Source organism: Homo sapiens, chromosome 4 (genome assembly GCF_000001405.40).
Source record: "Homo sapiens chromosome 4, GRCh38.p14 Primary Assembly".
NCBI lineage: Eukaryota > Metazoa > Chordata > Mammalia > Primates > Hominidae > Homo > Homo sapiens.
The window spans coordinates 134151172-134166865 of NC_000004.12; the positions used below are offsets into that span (position 1 = coordinate 134151172).

General features: G+C 34.0%; 1 protein-coding gene across 10 annotated transcripts in view; it reads right to left on the bottom strand.

The window, feature by feature from the left end:
• PABPC4L (poly(A) binding protein cytoplasmic 4 like) overlaps positions 1–15694 on the bottom strand; it is a 253443-nt gene that overhangs the window by 202713 nt on the left and 35036 nt on the right. For 8 of the 10 annotated variants that reach the window (XR_001741133.2, XR_007096357.1, XR_001741135.2 and 5 more), the window contains one exon: positions 15315–15477. The exons of 1 other annotated variant lie outside the window; for it this stretch is intronic. Coding sequence is in view for 1 of the 9 variants with exons in the window: in XM_047449600.1 (XP_047305556.1) it covers positions 15328–15477 (150 nt within the window). In the remaining 8 variants the exon portion in view is untranslated. Of the gene's footprint in view, positions 1–4397; positions 5382–15314; positions 15478–15694 lie in introns of those variants that run through there. One more of the 10 variants, XM_047449600.1, reaches the window with a different exon arrangement.

Genomic DNA, 15694 nt, shown 5'->3' on the forward strand with positions numbered 1-15694 from the left:
AAGGCAGGCAATCCCTTGTTCTTGACCTGTTTGTGATTACACAGGCATTTATGTTAAAAACATGGAGCACTGTATACACTACATACTTTACTGTATATGTATTACGGTTAAAAATAAAAAATAAAAAGAACACAAAATTAAAATCTCATAGTTGCACATGCTAACCATTATATCCCAAAACATGGTTACAATTTTCTCAGCACTTCATAAATATTGCTTTACTAAATTTTTGTTGGTGTTGTTCATCAAAACGATCATATTATAATGTCTTAAGAATAGAATCGAGAGGTGTGGAAAACTTTTCCTGATATAAACAATGTTCATTAAATATTCTTTCTGATCATTTTATTTCAGAATGGTAACTTATAATATAAAGTCATTTATATCCTAACAATATCTATCTACTCCATCAACACATACAAAATTGTCAGAATACCTACATTTAAATAGTACATTTCATCTTATCTTTTCTAATGTTTTGCCAATTATTTATTTTATTAACTCAAAATAAAGAGAATAGAATTAACTATTAGTGGGGACACATCAAAGTTGTAAAATTTTATCATGTATTTCTAGAATATAATATATGTTACCATTTTCATAGCAAATTTAAAATACTTTGAAATGACAAAGGGAAAATTGGACAACAGAAAAATATGTAAAATGGTAAGTTAATTAAAGCTTATTATAATATAAGAATATTCCTGGTAAATTCCCATCATGAAATTAAAAACTATATTATCAGTTAAAATTTTTTGCAAAAAATAATGTAACATATTTTTATATTTTTACTGAATTTCCATTTTATGTCCATATCAATTTAGATATTATTATTTTTGAGCAGCTTTTCAAGTTTTTTGCCCAATTTTCTAATGGATTGTCATTCTTTTATTTATTGATTTATACAAGTGCCTTATATAATCTGAAATCAGGTCTTTTGTTAGAGATATTTATTGTAACTATTTTTCTCCTGTGGTTTACACTCTTTTTTCTTAATGTTTCTTTTGATAAAAATGAATAATAATATTGTTGTTTAAGCTTTTAGCTTCTATAGCTACGAGAGATATTGACTATTAATATATTTCAATATTATTTTCAGGTTTTAGTGTTAAGAATATGTTACATTATAAAGTATGTTAGGAAAGTATATTGTAACTCTAGGTTTTTTGAATAATTTCATGTAAGATCTTGGAGATTTCCTTCTTAAATATATGGAAAAATTGACTGTTGAAAATTAATAAAATTTAAGGCAGTGGCCCCATTTCCACAGCTCCACTAAGCAAAGCCCTGGTGAGTACTGTCTACAGTGGTTCTGCCTCTGTGGCAGGCTTCTGCCTGAGGATATATCCTCCGAAACCTAGGTGAATGTTACCAAGCCTCCAGCACTCCTGCATTCTGGGCATCTGCACACTCAATACCATGTGGAAGACAGAGGGGCTTACAGCTTATGCCCTCCAAACGCTTCCAACCTCTCCCCATTGCCCAGTTTCAAAGCTGCTTCCACATTTTCAGGTATCTTTACACCATCCCTCCTTTGGTACAGATTTACTGCATTAGTCTGTTTTATGTTGCTATAAAGAAATATCTGAGGCTGGGTAATTTATAAAGCAAAAAGGTTTTATTTGGCTGACACTTCTCCAGTATGTACAAGAAGCATGGCATCAGAATTGCTCCTGGTGAGGGTCTCAGATTGCCTCCACTCATGGTAGAAGGAAAAGGGGAGGCAGTGTGTGCAGAGATCACATAGTAAAAGAGGAAGCAAAAGAGTAGGAGAGGGGTGATGCTAGCTTATTTTTAACAACAAGCTCTGGAAGGAACTAATAGACCAAGAACTCACTCAACTCTCACACTAGAAAGGTTAATCTAGTCATGTGAGATCTGCTCCCGTGACACAAACACTTTCCATGAGGCTCCACCTCTAACACTGGGGATCACATTTGAGAGTGATCATCACATTGGGGATAAACATCCAAACATAATAGAATTCCTTTCAACTCATTTTCATTATAGCTTGTCTCTATTTTTTTAGTACTGTGTCTTTCATATTGAGTATAAATAAGGTATTAATCGCAATATAAAATTCATCACTCTTCTGTCTTTCTGCCTTCATAGTGTTTTAGTTTGCCGAGTCATCACTGTTAATGCTTGGATATAATGTTCAGATGCTGGTTTTTGAAGTATGTGTGTATATATATATATATTTTAAATATACCAATAGACCAAGAATATTTTCCATGCAAATGTCCATAAAGGTTACAAGAAATAATATTTACTCTAAGTCAAAAACAAATCACAATTTTGAGTTTGACAGTGAAAGATTTTATTTTCAAAATTTATTTAATTGTTCACGTGATATTATTTATTTAATGTGAATAAGGGTCACCTTAGCTAAAGGCCGTATACTTTTGGATACTTTTCCTCCCCACATTCAGTATTCTGTTTTGTTTAAATACAAGCATATTTATTCTTTCTTTCTTTATTTTTTTATTTTCTTAAGATAGAGTCTTGATCTGTAGTCCATGCTGGGGTGCAGTGGTGTGATGTTAGCTCAAAGCAGCCTTGAACTCCTAGCTCAAGCAATACTCTTGCCTCAGCCTCCAGAGTAGCTGGGACTACCGGGCATGTGCCCCTATGCCTAGTTTTTTTTTTTTTTTTTTTTTTTTTTTGTAGAGACAGGGTCTCACTTTACAAATATCTTTATTCTTAATGAGCTTTTGCTACTTTCTGCATGTTTTAAAGGCTACATAGCTAAGATTATTACACAATAAATTAGGAGAGGATTTTAACATTTCAAACAATTCCAAAGAGGAAAAAGGAAGGTGGTGAATCCTGTCTTGTCTTTATAAATGAAACGCGTCCCTAAAGGAGCTAAATTGGGATCAAGGAACCAAGAAAAATCACTCAGTAAAGATAATCTATCTTATTATCTATATGAAAGTTTAAATGTATTCTTATAGGAAACATTGACTCCATAGAAAATTGGTATCTTTAAATAAAATATTATGAAATATTTTTTATAAGAAACTCTACTTCAATCTTACCTATATCCATATTTAGGCAGACTGCCTGAGCTCAGGAGTTTGAGATCAGCCTGGGCAACACGCCAAAGCCTCATCTCTACTAAAAATACAAAAATTATCTAGGCGTGGTGGCGCATGCCTGTAGTCCCAGCTACTTGGGAGGCTGAGGCACGAGAATTGTCTGAACCCTGGAGGCAGGGGTTGCAGTGAGCTGAGATCCTGCCACTGACCTCCAGCCTGGGCAACAGAGCCAGACTCTGTTTAAAAAATAAATAAATAAATAAATAACATCTCCCCTATCCTTTTGAATTTTACATATGATTTGCAGTTTATTATATACCTAATATTTTACCTTCTCATTGATTCCTCTATAAACATTGCCTTTGGACAATCAGAAGAATAAATTACTCCCTTTTAAAACTTCACATTTGGCTGGTAAGATTTTTTTTTCTCCAGTGTTGTGTGGTTCATCATATTAATATTTTGCATTATTTGTACTTTATATATAAAAGAAACCTTGCTCATTCTGAATTTAAGTGTTTTTAAACATTCTAATGACAGTAGAATTTTTTTAATTTTTAAAATTTTTTTAAATTTCTTAAGTTTCAGGATTATGTGAGCTACTGTACTTCTTTTTAAACTTCGCATTTAATCTTAACATTTTTGTTGCTTAATTTGAAAAAGAAGTTGGTAGATTACATTCATGATATTAATTTTCAGGTAAAGTGATAAAACACTATAGCAAAACTTCAACCGAATATTGTAGATGTTTTTTCTTTATATATAACATTATTAAATAGAGTCGAAATCACCATTATTATACAAATGCTATCACAAAATGATGCTAGTGATGTCAGTGTAGAAGCTGAAATGACAATTCATATGGCACAAATGGTATTGCCAGAGGTGACATGATTTTCCAAAATGTTGAACCACTCTAGATTACATTTCAAAGAAAGCAAAATACAATCTCCATATAATTTATCCAGTACTTTAATTTGACGGGCCTGAAAGCTATGTAAAATTTATTTTATATTTCTGTGTAAAATGGAAGGCTATATTTAAAGTAGACTTCTTATTCAAGTCATTTGTCTATTACATAACTTTATTTTTCTTACAAACTCTGATAATAGGTTGTCTATTTTCCTATTCCTTCTTTCTCTCCCCCAACACACATTATCTATTTCTAATCAACTTCTAATCATTATTTCTCTCCCAGTTCACACACACACACACACACACACAGAGTCATGTACAAAACATACTGTCATATACACACAGTCTGAATGTAAACTTCTGAGATCTATGTCTATCTTCCCCATTGCTCTATCCTCTATACATTGTAATTATTCAATAAATATTTGTTAAAGAAATAAATAATTTTTATTTTCATCATTTTATTTGAAATAAATGTACTGTTCCTCTAAGTGAATTACATATAATCATTTAAAACCCAAAGTTATTATGACAAGATTAGAACAATTCAGCCAGAACACTGCAGTGATAGTACTAGTAGCTGTCTTCCATGGTTATTTTATCGTTAACTACCAAAAAACCACAGCATTTAAATCAGAAGATAAATATTTTTGTAATCTGAATTTCTACACTAAAAGTCAAATGAGCTAACTCTAATAATTGTACACTATGTTATTCACCTACAAACTTTTAAAAATGGATAGCTGTTAGTTTCTAAGTAAGAAACAATAACATAAAAAGCATTGAATTCAAAATGAGCCAAGGTACCCTTTAGCAGAAATGTTGAATTATAGTTTGTCTAAGGAATGCTAGTATTGCTCACGTTTGCATATTTAGATTAATAGTACATTTCTACAAGGTTTGTGCTGTAATTGGAACTTAAGTAACATTTGTAAAGTGTTATCTGTCGGAGCCTGAAGAGACCCAAAGAGAATGTATGTCATTATGCAAAATTACTAATTAAGTACAAGTAATTTAGCAGATAATTTACATGTTCATTTTATAATAGAAATTATTTAGTTTTAAGGTCCTCTTTGTATTTCTAAAGTAATCTCGACCTAAGGGATCACAGCCTGTTAAGAAGAAGTATAAATTATAGAATGAGACATATGTTTAACTGACTCATAGAGCTTTTGTTGTGGCTAATGATTTTTCTAACAGTAATTGCATAAGGGAAAACATTTTCTTTTTAAGTAAATAGTGCTCGTTACCTCTTAAATCTACTGTCACTTGACAACATTAATGTGGAAAAACTTCTACCTTCTTGATTAGCTCTCCAAGGATATTCAGCAGCTTTAAATTAATATTGATGAAACAGAAACCATCATATCCATCAGTGTTCTTACAAATGTGGATGCACGGAAAAAAATAATATTTCAATAGATTCTGGAAAGAGAAACAATTAGTTTTCTGAAACATACTGTAAATTACTGAAATATAGTGTAAACTATAAATATAAGGAAATTATATTAGAATGGGGTATTTATTGGGTACCTGTTAATAAATACTAGATCTATATATAAATCTTAAATATTTCAGTAATAAAGTCTGCATTTGTATAGTCTAACTGTGACCATATTGTGTTACAAATTGTTATCCCATAACACAACTCTGGAGAGAAAAGAAATCAACCTGCCTTTCCAAGCCAGTCCTTTTTAAAATTCAAATCGTCTGAAAGTTCCATGAAGGCAGCAATACTGTTTATTTAAACAGCTCTGGTCCACTAATGTAAAACAGTGCTGAGGTACACTCTAATTTAGGTGACAATTCCCTCAAATTCTTCTCCCTGTTTTCTTTAGGTTTAATATGTTGTTGGTTTTAAAATAACTTTAAAAATGATATTAATTCAATTTTTTTTCTAATTTTTATTGGTGCATATATTTAATGCTGTCAAATGTTCTCTGATTCTTACTTTAGCTGTATCCCATAAATCCTGATAAGCCCCATTTTAATTTTGAGAAATAATGTAGTTTTATTTGTTTCCAGTTTGATCCCGGGGTTGTTTAACACTGTCCATTTTAATACCATGTGGAAGAATTTTTTGTTTTCAAATTTGTTACAAATTATTGTTTTATTCAAAATTCACAGAATGCTCTTAGTTTTTTTTTTTTTAGTATTAAGATTTCATTTGTGGTATAAAATGATGAATTTTTATGAATAACTTTGCTGTACTTAAGACAAGTATAGTATCATCTGGGTTAAGGTTTCAATATATTAATATAATATCTAAATTATTGATGACAGATGTTCAGTACTTCAATATCTTTATGAAACTTTTGTCCACTTGATTCACCTTGATTAAAGAAGAATGTGTTGATTTTTATTTTTATTAATTTCCTTGTACAGTTCTTTTTGCAGCTGCAGTTGGTGTTTAAAGAAAGTCACTGCTATATTACTATTGGCATAAAAATTAATGGCTGTTACAGCTTCACTGAGAAATATTGTTTTTAAATTTATGAAATATTTCATCATTATATAATCTACTTGGCATCAATTTTGTACTTTTGGATATCAAGATTTTAACTCCTACTTTACTTCAATTGCATTTGAGTAGTACATATCAGTGCATCCTTCTATTTTTATCACTTTTTAATGTTGTTTTTTCAGGTCTGTCACTTATATAAAGTGAAATTTTGGATTTTACATTTTTATTCAATAAAACAATTTTCTTTCTACTGGTGATTTAAGTTCATTTCATTACACTAGAATTAATATATTTGGCCTCCATTCTCTTATATTTTTAATGTTTTATGCACACAAGGTATGTCATTATGTGGTCACTTATTTGTTCTCTCTCTCCTCATATATTTTGGTATTTAGAAAGTTTTGCAATTCTAGAATAATGGCTATATTTATAACATTTATACTAATGCTTTTGAAGAATATCCTTAGTCCTCTAACTTTTTCAAGTTCTATTGTTTCCCTCTGTAAATGAAATTAAATTTTACTGGGGAATTTTTATTCCCCTCCCCCATCTCCCTACAAATCTGATTTGAAGTAATATCTTTCACTCCCAGTTATTATCAGTAAATAGTGAAGTGATTATCCTTTCCATACACTTTCTTAATTTTGTAAACCACTATTGATTGTTACTTTATCTAAAATGTCAGAATATTTAACCTACAGATACTTTATTGTCTTCTTTATATCTGTTAGTCATTTCTCTATAGATAAACATATATTCAATGTTTAGCACCAGATTTTAAGCTCAATTGTTTTTATATTCTACAGATAATTTTCTAGGTAGGAGTTATGGAAACAGTATTCCTTCCATTCTGACATATTCTTAAAGTCTACCTTTACACTAGAAGGTAAATTTAGACAGACATAAAATCTTTTTGTTATGCTTTTTCTTCCTTAGAACTTTAAGCGTATTAATAGTTTTCTTTGGCACAAAACATTACAGATAAAAAGGCTGAATATCAGTCTTATTTTATTTGCTTTATAAGTGACTTGAACTTCTTGCCTGGATACTCAAAGAATGTTTTTTCCTTTGTTTTAAAGTATAATAGCTTTGCTAGAATATATCTAGGTGCTAGATGTCATCTACTGTAGGTTGATTTTACTATGTACCAGAATATAAATATGGTCATGTGCCTCTTAATGATGGGGATATGTTCTGAAAAATGGCATCATTAGGCAACTTTGTCATCCTGGGGATATTATAGAGTGCATTTACACAAACTTAGATGGTATAGCCTATAACACACTCAGGCTATATGATATAGCCTATTGCTTTTAGCCTAAAATCTGCGTAGCATGTTACTATATTGAATACTTGTAGGTAATTGTAACACAATGATCAGTATTTGTGTATCTAAACATATTGATACATAGAAAAAGCACGGTAAAAATAGAACATAAAAGATAAAAAAATGGAACACCTGCATAGGGCACTTATCATGAATGAAGCTTATAGAAAAGAAAGTTACTGTGGGCAACTCAGTGAGTGAGTGGCGAGTGAATGTAAAGGCCTACAATATTAATGTGCACTACTGTAGACTTTAGAACACTGTTCACTTAAACTACACTAAATCTATTAATTTTTCTTCAATAATAAACGTAGGTAATTCTACAGGAGAAGCAGAGCACAATGGCCAAATAGTGACCACCCCCCTGTAGGAACACCCAATTAAACAACTATCCATGCAAGAAATCGCCTTCATAGGAACCAGAAACTCAGATGAGTAATCATAGTACCCGGCTGTAACAGAATAACAAGGAAAGAGGCATTGAAGGGGACAGGCAGGACAGTCTTACATTGCCTACAGGACCCCTCCCTCAAGCCCAGACAGCACAGCACAAAGAGAATCTGTGTGCTTTGGGGAGGGAGAGTAAGCATGGGACTTTGCATTAAAGCTCAGTGCTACCCTATCATAGGGCAGAATTCTGCTGGCACACTTAAAGGGAGCATTTAGACCAACACTGGGCCAGAGAGGAATCCTCCACCCTAACTTGAGGAAACATGAGTCTCAGCCAGTTTCAACATGGGCTGACTAACGTGGCCAGGGGCCCCAAATAAATTTCAGTGTCAGTAAGGCCACAGAGACTGCAGTCCCTGGGCAAGCCCTGGTGTTGCACTGATTTTGGAGACAGTGGATATGGAGTGAGACCCAGAGTGTCACCAGCTGCAGAAGCCCGCAGCCCTGAGAGTGCCTGCATCACCCCTCCCCCAATTGCAGGATGAGCAGCTCACAGGCAGCCTCCTTTTTAGGGGAAAAAGAAAGAATAGAGAAGATTTTGTCTTGAAACTTGAGTATAAACTCCGACACAGTAAAATAAATCACCAAGCAGATTTATAAAGCACCAATTCCAGGTTTTTACTCCTGCATGGTGTTTATAGACCCACCCTGGGAATTCGCTCCCCTAATGGAATGGACCCAATCCAAGAAGGATTCACCACCTGCTGCTTAAAGTGATCCAGGACCTTGAATAAAAATGAGTGGCAGCTAGGCATTAGTGGCCACAAGCCTTGGGCAAGGTTTAGTACCATGCTGATCTGGAAAACAATGGGCTACAGATGTGACCCAGGGCCATGTCGGCTGTGGTGGCCATGAAGATGCTCATATTACCCCTTACCAAACTTTAGGCAGCCCAGTGCAGAGAGAGATCCCTTCTGATTGGAGAAAAGAGAGGGAAGAGAGCAAGAGACTTTGCCTGGTATCCCAGATAATACACCCTCCTCCAGGTAACCCCAGGCTATGTAATTAGGAGTCTACAAGAGCCACAGTGTTCCTATGCTTAAGACACTCCCCCGTGCTGAAAGAGCTGCAGTGACCACAGGATTAAGTCAGAACACTCAAGCTCCTTTGAATTCATGGAAAGAAGGATAAGTACAAACAAGCCCAGACTGTGAATATTGTAATAAATGCCTGATTCTTCAATGCCAAGACGTTGATAAATGTCCACAAGCATCAAAAACATCCAAATCTAGATGTGGTGGCTCCTGTCTATAATCCCAGCTATTTGGGAGGTTGATGTGAAAGGATTGTTGAGGTCAGAAGTTAGAGTACAGCCTGGGCAACATAGTAAGACTCCATCTCTCTCAAAATATTAGCCAGGTGGTATGTGCCTGTATTCCCAGCTACTCAGGAGTCTGAGGTGTGAGGATTGCTCAAGCCTAGGAGTTTGAGGCTGGACAGAGTGAGACCCCATCTGTAAAAATAAAGTAAAATTTAAAAGAAAAAAGTAAAATCAAAAAAATATATAAAGTAAAATTTAAAAGAAAAAAGAAAGAAATTCCAGGAAAATATAACATCACCAAATGGACTAAGTGAGGAACCAGTGACCGATTCTGGAGTGACAGATACATGACCTCTCAGACAATTAATTCAAAATAGCTGTGTTGAGGAAGCTCAATGAGCTTGAAGTTAACACAAAGAAAGAATTCCAAATTCTTTCAGAGAAACTTAACAAAGAGATTGAAATATTTAAAATAATTAAGCAGCAATTCTAAAGCTGAAAAATTCAATTAACAACCTTAAAAATGCATCAGAGTTTCTCAACAGCAGACTTAATCAAGCAGAAGAAAGAATTAGTAAGCTTAAATGCAGGCTACATGGAAATACACAGTCAGAGAAGAAAAAAAAAAGAATGAAGCATGCCTATAGGATCTACAAAATAGCCTAAAGAAGAAAAATCTAAGAGTTATTGGTTATAAAGAGGATGTAGAGAGAGAGAATGGGATACAAATCTTATTCAAGGAAGTAATAACACAGAACTTTACAAACACAAGGATAAACAAAGAATCCTAATAGCAGAAGGAGAAGAAAACAAATAGAATATAAAGGAGTTAAAATACATCTGGAAGCAGACTTCTCAGTAAAAACCTTAGAGATCAGGACAGATATTTGAAATGGTGAAAGAAAAAAGAAATCCCAACTTAGAATGTTATTTCCAGCAAAATTATCCTTCAAACATGAAGTAGAAATAAAGATCTACCAGACAAACAAAAGCTGAGGGATTTCATCAACAGCAGACTTGTCTTACAAGAGATGCTAAAGAGAATTCTTCAGTCTCAAAGAATAGGGCATTAATGAGCAAAAATAAATTAACTGAACATATAAAACTTACTGGTAAAAGTAAGTACACAGACAATACAGAATACTCTAGCACTGTAGCTGCAGTAAGTAAAAAAGCTCATATATTTCATAGAAAAAACAAAAGACAAACCCATTAAAAATAATACTACAGCAATTTGTTGAGACTGTACAAATATATAAATAGAGTCAACAAATAATTAAAAAGTGGGGGGATGAAGTTATAGAGCTTTTTAGCTTTCTCTTGTTTGTGTGTTTATTTCTTTTCTTTCTTTTTTCTTTTGTTTTCAGTGATCAAAGTTAAGTTTTCATCAGTTTAAAATAATTGGTTATAAGCTTCATTGTAATCCCAAAGCAAAAACCTTGTAACAAAGACACAAAAATAAAATGCAAGGAATTAAAAAATACTACCAGAGAAAATAACTTTTAAACAAAGGAAGACAATAAGGAGGAAGAAGAAAAGAAAGGGAAGAACAACAAAACAACCAGAAAAGGGATAACAAAATGACAGTAATAAGTCCTTCCCTAGCAATAACAACATTGAAGCCACAATAGTAAAACCAAACAAAGAAGGTTATTATGTAATGATCAGTTCAACAAAAATATATTACAATCCTAAATATATATGCACCTAACTCTGCAGCTCCCAGATCCATAAAACAATTAATACTAGACCTAAGAAAAGAGATAGACACCAACACAATAATAATAGGGGACATCAACACTCCACTGACAGCAGTAGACAGATCGTCAAGGTGGAACGTCAACAAAGAAACACTGGACTTAAACTGTACTCTAGAACAAACAGAACTAACAGATATGCACAGAACACTCTACTCTAGAACTGCAGAATGTACACTCTTCTCATCAGCACATGGAAATTCTTCAAGATAGACAATATGATATGCCACAAAAGTCTGAATAATTTTTTAAATATCAAAATCCTATCAAGTATCTTCTCAAGGCCACAGTGAAATAAAACTAGAAGTCAACTCCAAAAGGAAACCTCAAGACTATAGAAATACATGGAAATTAATCAAATCTGCTCTTGAATGATTTTGGGGTTAACAATGAAATCAAGATAAAAATTTAAAAATTTTTCAAAATGAATATTAACTGTGAGACAAGGTATAAAGACCTCTGGGATACAGCAAAAGCAATGCTAAGAGGAACGTTTATAGTGCTAAATGCCTACATCAAAAAGTCTGAAAAGATCACAAATTGGCAACCCAATATCTCATTTAAATGAACTATAGAAACAATAACAAACCATATTCAAAGCCAGCAGAAGAAAAGAAACAAAGATCAGAATAGAACTACATGAAACTGAAACAAAAAATTACAAAAGATCAATGAAACAAAAAGGTGGTTCTTATAAATAATAAATAAAATTGATAGACCATTAGCTATAGAAGAACCAGGAAGAGAGAAGATTCAAATAAGCTCAATTAGAAATGCAAATGGAGGCATTCCAATTGACAATAAAGAAATACAAAAGATCATTTGAGACTGCTATGAATACCCCTCTATACATACAAACTAGACCATCTATACTAAATGAATAAATTCCTGGAGAAATATAACCCTCCTTGCTTTAATCTGGAAGAAACAGAAATCCTGAATACACCAATAATAAGCAGTGAGACTGAATCAGTAATGAAAAAAATGACATCAAAAAAGCCCAAAGCTAGATGAATTTGCAGCCAAATTCTACCAGACATTCAAATAATTGGTATGAATCCTACTGAAAATATTCCAAAAGACTGAAAAGAAGGAAATCATCTCTTATTCATTCTGTGAAGTCAGCATCACCCTGACATCAAAGCCAGGAAAGAACATAAAAAAAGAAAACTACAGACCAATATCCCTGATGAACATAGATGCAAAAATCCTCAACAATATACTAGCAAACTGAATCCAACAGCACATAAAAAAGATAATTACCATAATCAAGTGGGTTTCAGCCCAGAAGGGATGGTTCAAGATATGCAAGTCAATAAATGTGATTCATCACACAAATAGAATTTAAAACGAAAGTCATATGATCATCTCAATAGATACAGAAAACACATTCAATAAATTCCAGTATCTCTTTATTATAAAAATCCTCAACAACTTAGGTATAGAACATACATACATAAACATAATATGTCATGTAGTACACACCCACAGCCAAAATCATAGTTAACATGGAAAAGTTGAAAGCATCCCCACAAAGAACTGGAACAAGACAGAGATGCCCACTTTTACCACTTCTGTTAAAAATAGAAGTCCTGGGCCAGGCGCGGTGGCTCACGCCTGTAATCCCAGCACTTTGGGAGGCCGAGGCGGGCGGATCACGAGGTCAGGAGATCGAGACCATCCCGGCTAAAATGGTGAAACCCCGTCTCTACTAAAAATACAAAAAATTAGCCGGGCGTAGTGGCGGGCGCCTGTAGTCCCAGCTACTTGGGAGGCTGAGGCAGGAGAATGGCGTGAACCCGGGAGGCGGAGCTTGCAGTGAGCCGAGATCCCGCCACTGCACTCCAGCCTGGGCGACAGAGCGAGACTCCGTCTCAAAAAAAAAAAAAAAAAAAAAAAAAAAAAATAGAAGTCCTGGCTAGAGCAATCAGGCAAGAGAAATAAATAAAGGACATCTGTTTGCCAATGATGTGATTGGCTACATAGAAAATCCTAAAGACAACTCCAAAAGACTCCTAGATTTTATAAATGAATTCAGCAAAGACTCAAGCTATAAAATCCATGTATACAAATCGGTAGCACTGCTATACATCAACAGCAACCAAGCTGAGAATCAAACAAGAATGCAATCCCTTTTACAATAGCTGCAAAAAAATTGAGATACCTAGAAATATTCTTAAAAAATGTGAAAGATCATTACAAGGAGAAATACAAAAGTGTGGTAACATAAATCATCTTCTATACAAACGAATATAAATACATCCTATGCTCATGGATTGCAAGGATAAGTATTCTAAAAATGACCATACTGCCCAAAAGAATCTACAGATTCAATGCGATTTCTATCAAAACATCACCACCATTTTTTCACAGAATTAGAAAAAAAAAGCTAAAATTCATATGGATCAGGAAAGAGCCCCAATAGCCAAAGCAATCTTAAGCAAAAGTAATAAATCTGGAAGCATCACATTACCTGATTTCAAATTATACTACATGGGCATAGTTACCAAAATAGCATGGCATTGGTTAAAATAAAAAAAGTAGATACATAGAACAATGGAACAGAATAAATAACTCAGAAATAAAGCCAAATACTTATAACCAACTGATCTTTGACAATGTACACAAAAACATAAACTGGGGAAAGGACTCCCTGTTCAATAAATGGTGCCAGGAAAACTGGGTAGCAGCCACATGCAGAAGAATGAAACTGGATCCCCATCTCTCACCATATACAAAAATCAACTTAAGATGGATTAAAGCTTTAAATCTAAAACCTAAAACCATAAAAATTCTAAAAGAAAACCTAGGATAAACTCTTTTGGACATTGGCCTAGGCAAAGAAATTATGACTAATATCCCAAAAGCAAATTCAACAAAACCAAAAATGAATAAATGAGACCTCATTAAATTAAAAAGCTTCTGCACAGCAGAAAAGTAATCATCATAGTAAAGAGAAAACCCACAGAATGGGAGAAAATATTTGCAAACTATGCATCCAACAAAGGTCTAGTATCCAGGGTTTATAAGGAGCTTAAATCAGCAAGCAACAATAATAAAAATAATAAACCCCTCAAAAGGTGAGCAGATGACACGAGTAGACATTTTTCAAAAGAAGATACACAAATGATCAATAAACATGAAAAAATGTTCAACATCACTGATCATTATGGAAATGCAAATTAAAACCATATTGAGATACCTCCTTATACCAGCCAGAATGACCATTATTGAGAAGTCAAAAAACAATAGATGTTGTCATGGATGTGGTGAAAAGAGAACTCTTACACACTGCTGGTAAGAATGTAAATTAGTACAATTCCTATGGAAAGCAGTTTGGAGGTTTCCAAAATAACTCAGAGTAGATCTGTTATTCAATCCAGCAATCCCTCTACTGGGTATCTACCTAAAAGAAAAGAAGTCATTGTATCAAAAAATACTTGCACACGTATGCTTATCATAGCGCCATTCACAATTGCGTTAGTGACCAACATAAGTGCCCATCAACTGATGAGTGGATTAAAAAAATGTGGTATACATCATGGAATACTATTCAGCCTCTAAAAAGAGTGAAATAAGGTATTTTGTAGCAACTTGGATGGAGGTGAAGGTCATTATTCTAAGTGAAATAATTCAGAAATGGAAAACCAAATACCATATGTTCTCACTTATAAATGGAAGCTAAGCTATGGGTATGCAAAGGCATACAGAGTGGTACAACGGACACCACAGAGGCAGAAGCCAGGAGGGTTGGAGTGAGGTGAGGATTAAAAACCTACATATTGGATACAATGTACACTACTCAGGTGATGGCTGCACTAAAACTTCAGACTTCACAAGTATATAGTTCGTCTATGTAAGGAAAACCCACTTGTACCCCCAAAGCTGTTGACATAAATAAATAAATGAATATATATGTAGATAGATGATAGATAAATAGATGTAAATATAGAAAATAAATCAATACCATAGAAATAAAAATAAAAGAAAATAGTTATCTGCTTCCTGAAAGCTTAGGTTTCCCCATCTTGACCAGTTCTCAAAAGAGAAAATGCCCCTAAGCCTGCAGAGGTCCCAGAAGAAACCTGATCTTACTGACCTGGCTCTGTTGCCTATGAGGGTCTAGAATGCTCTGCCTTGGGCACCATCCTCTTGGGCAGGTCACACCAGCATCGCTTTCCTTCAGGCCCTCTGAGGGTTACAGGGTCTACTTTCTGTGCCTTGTGCTCACAGGAGGCGGCAGATGTAACAGAGCTGATTTTCTGGAGGATCAAACAGAGGCATGTGGAAAGAAAAGTAAAGAAACAGATCACAAATTAAGCCAGTATATCTGCTTTGATTTTTGTCCCTTCCTATTCATTCCAGAGGATTCTGAGAAAAAGCCACTTAGATCCAGAGGTGCCCAACTTAAAACCCTTTAGTGTTCTATATGCCTCATGCCCACCCTCTGCCCTTCATTCACTGACATGGCATGCTGGA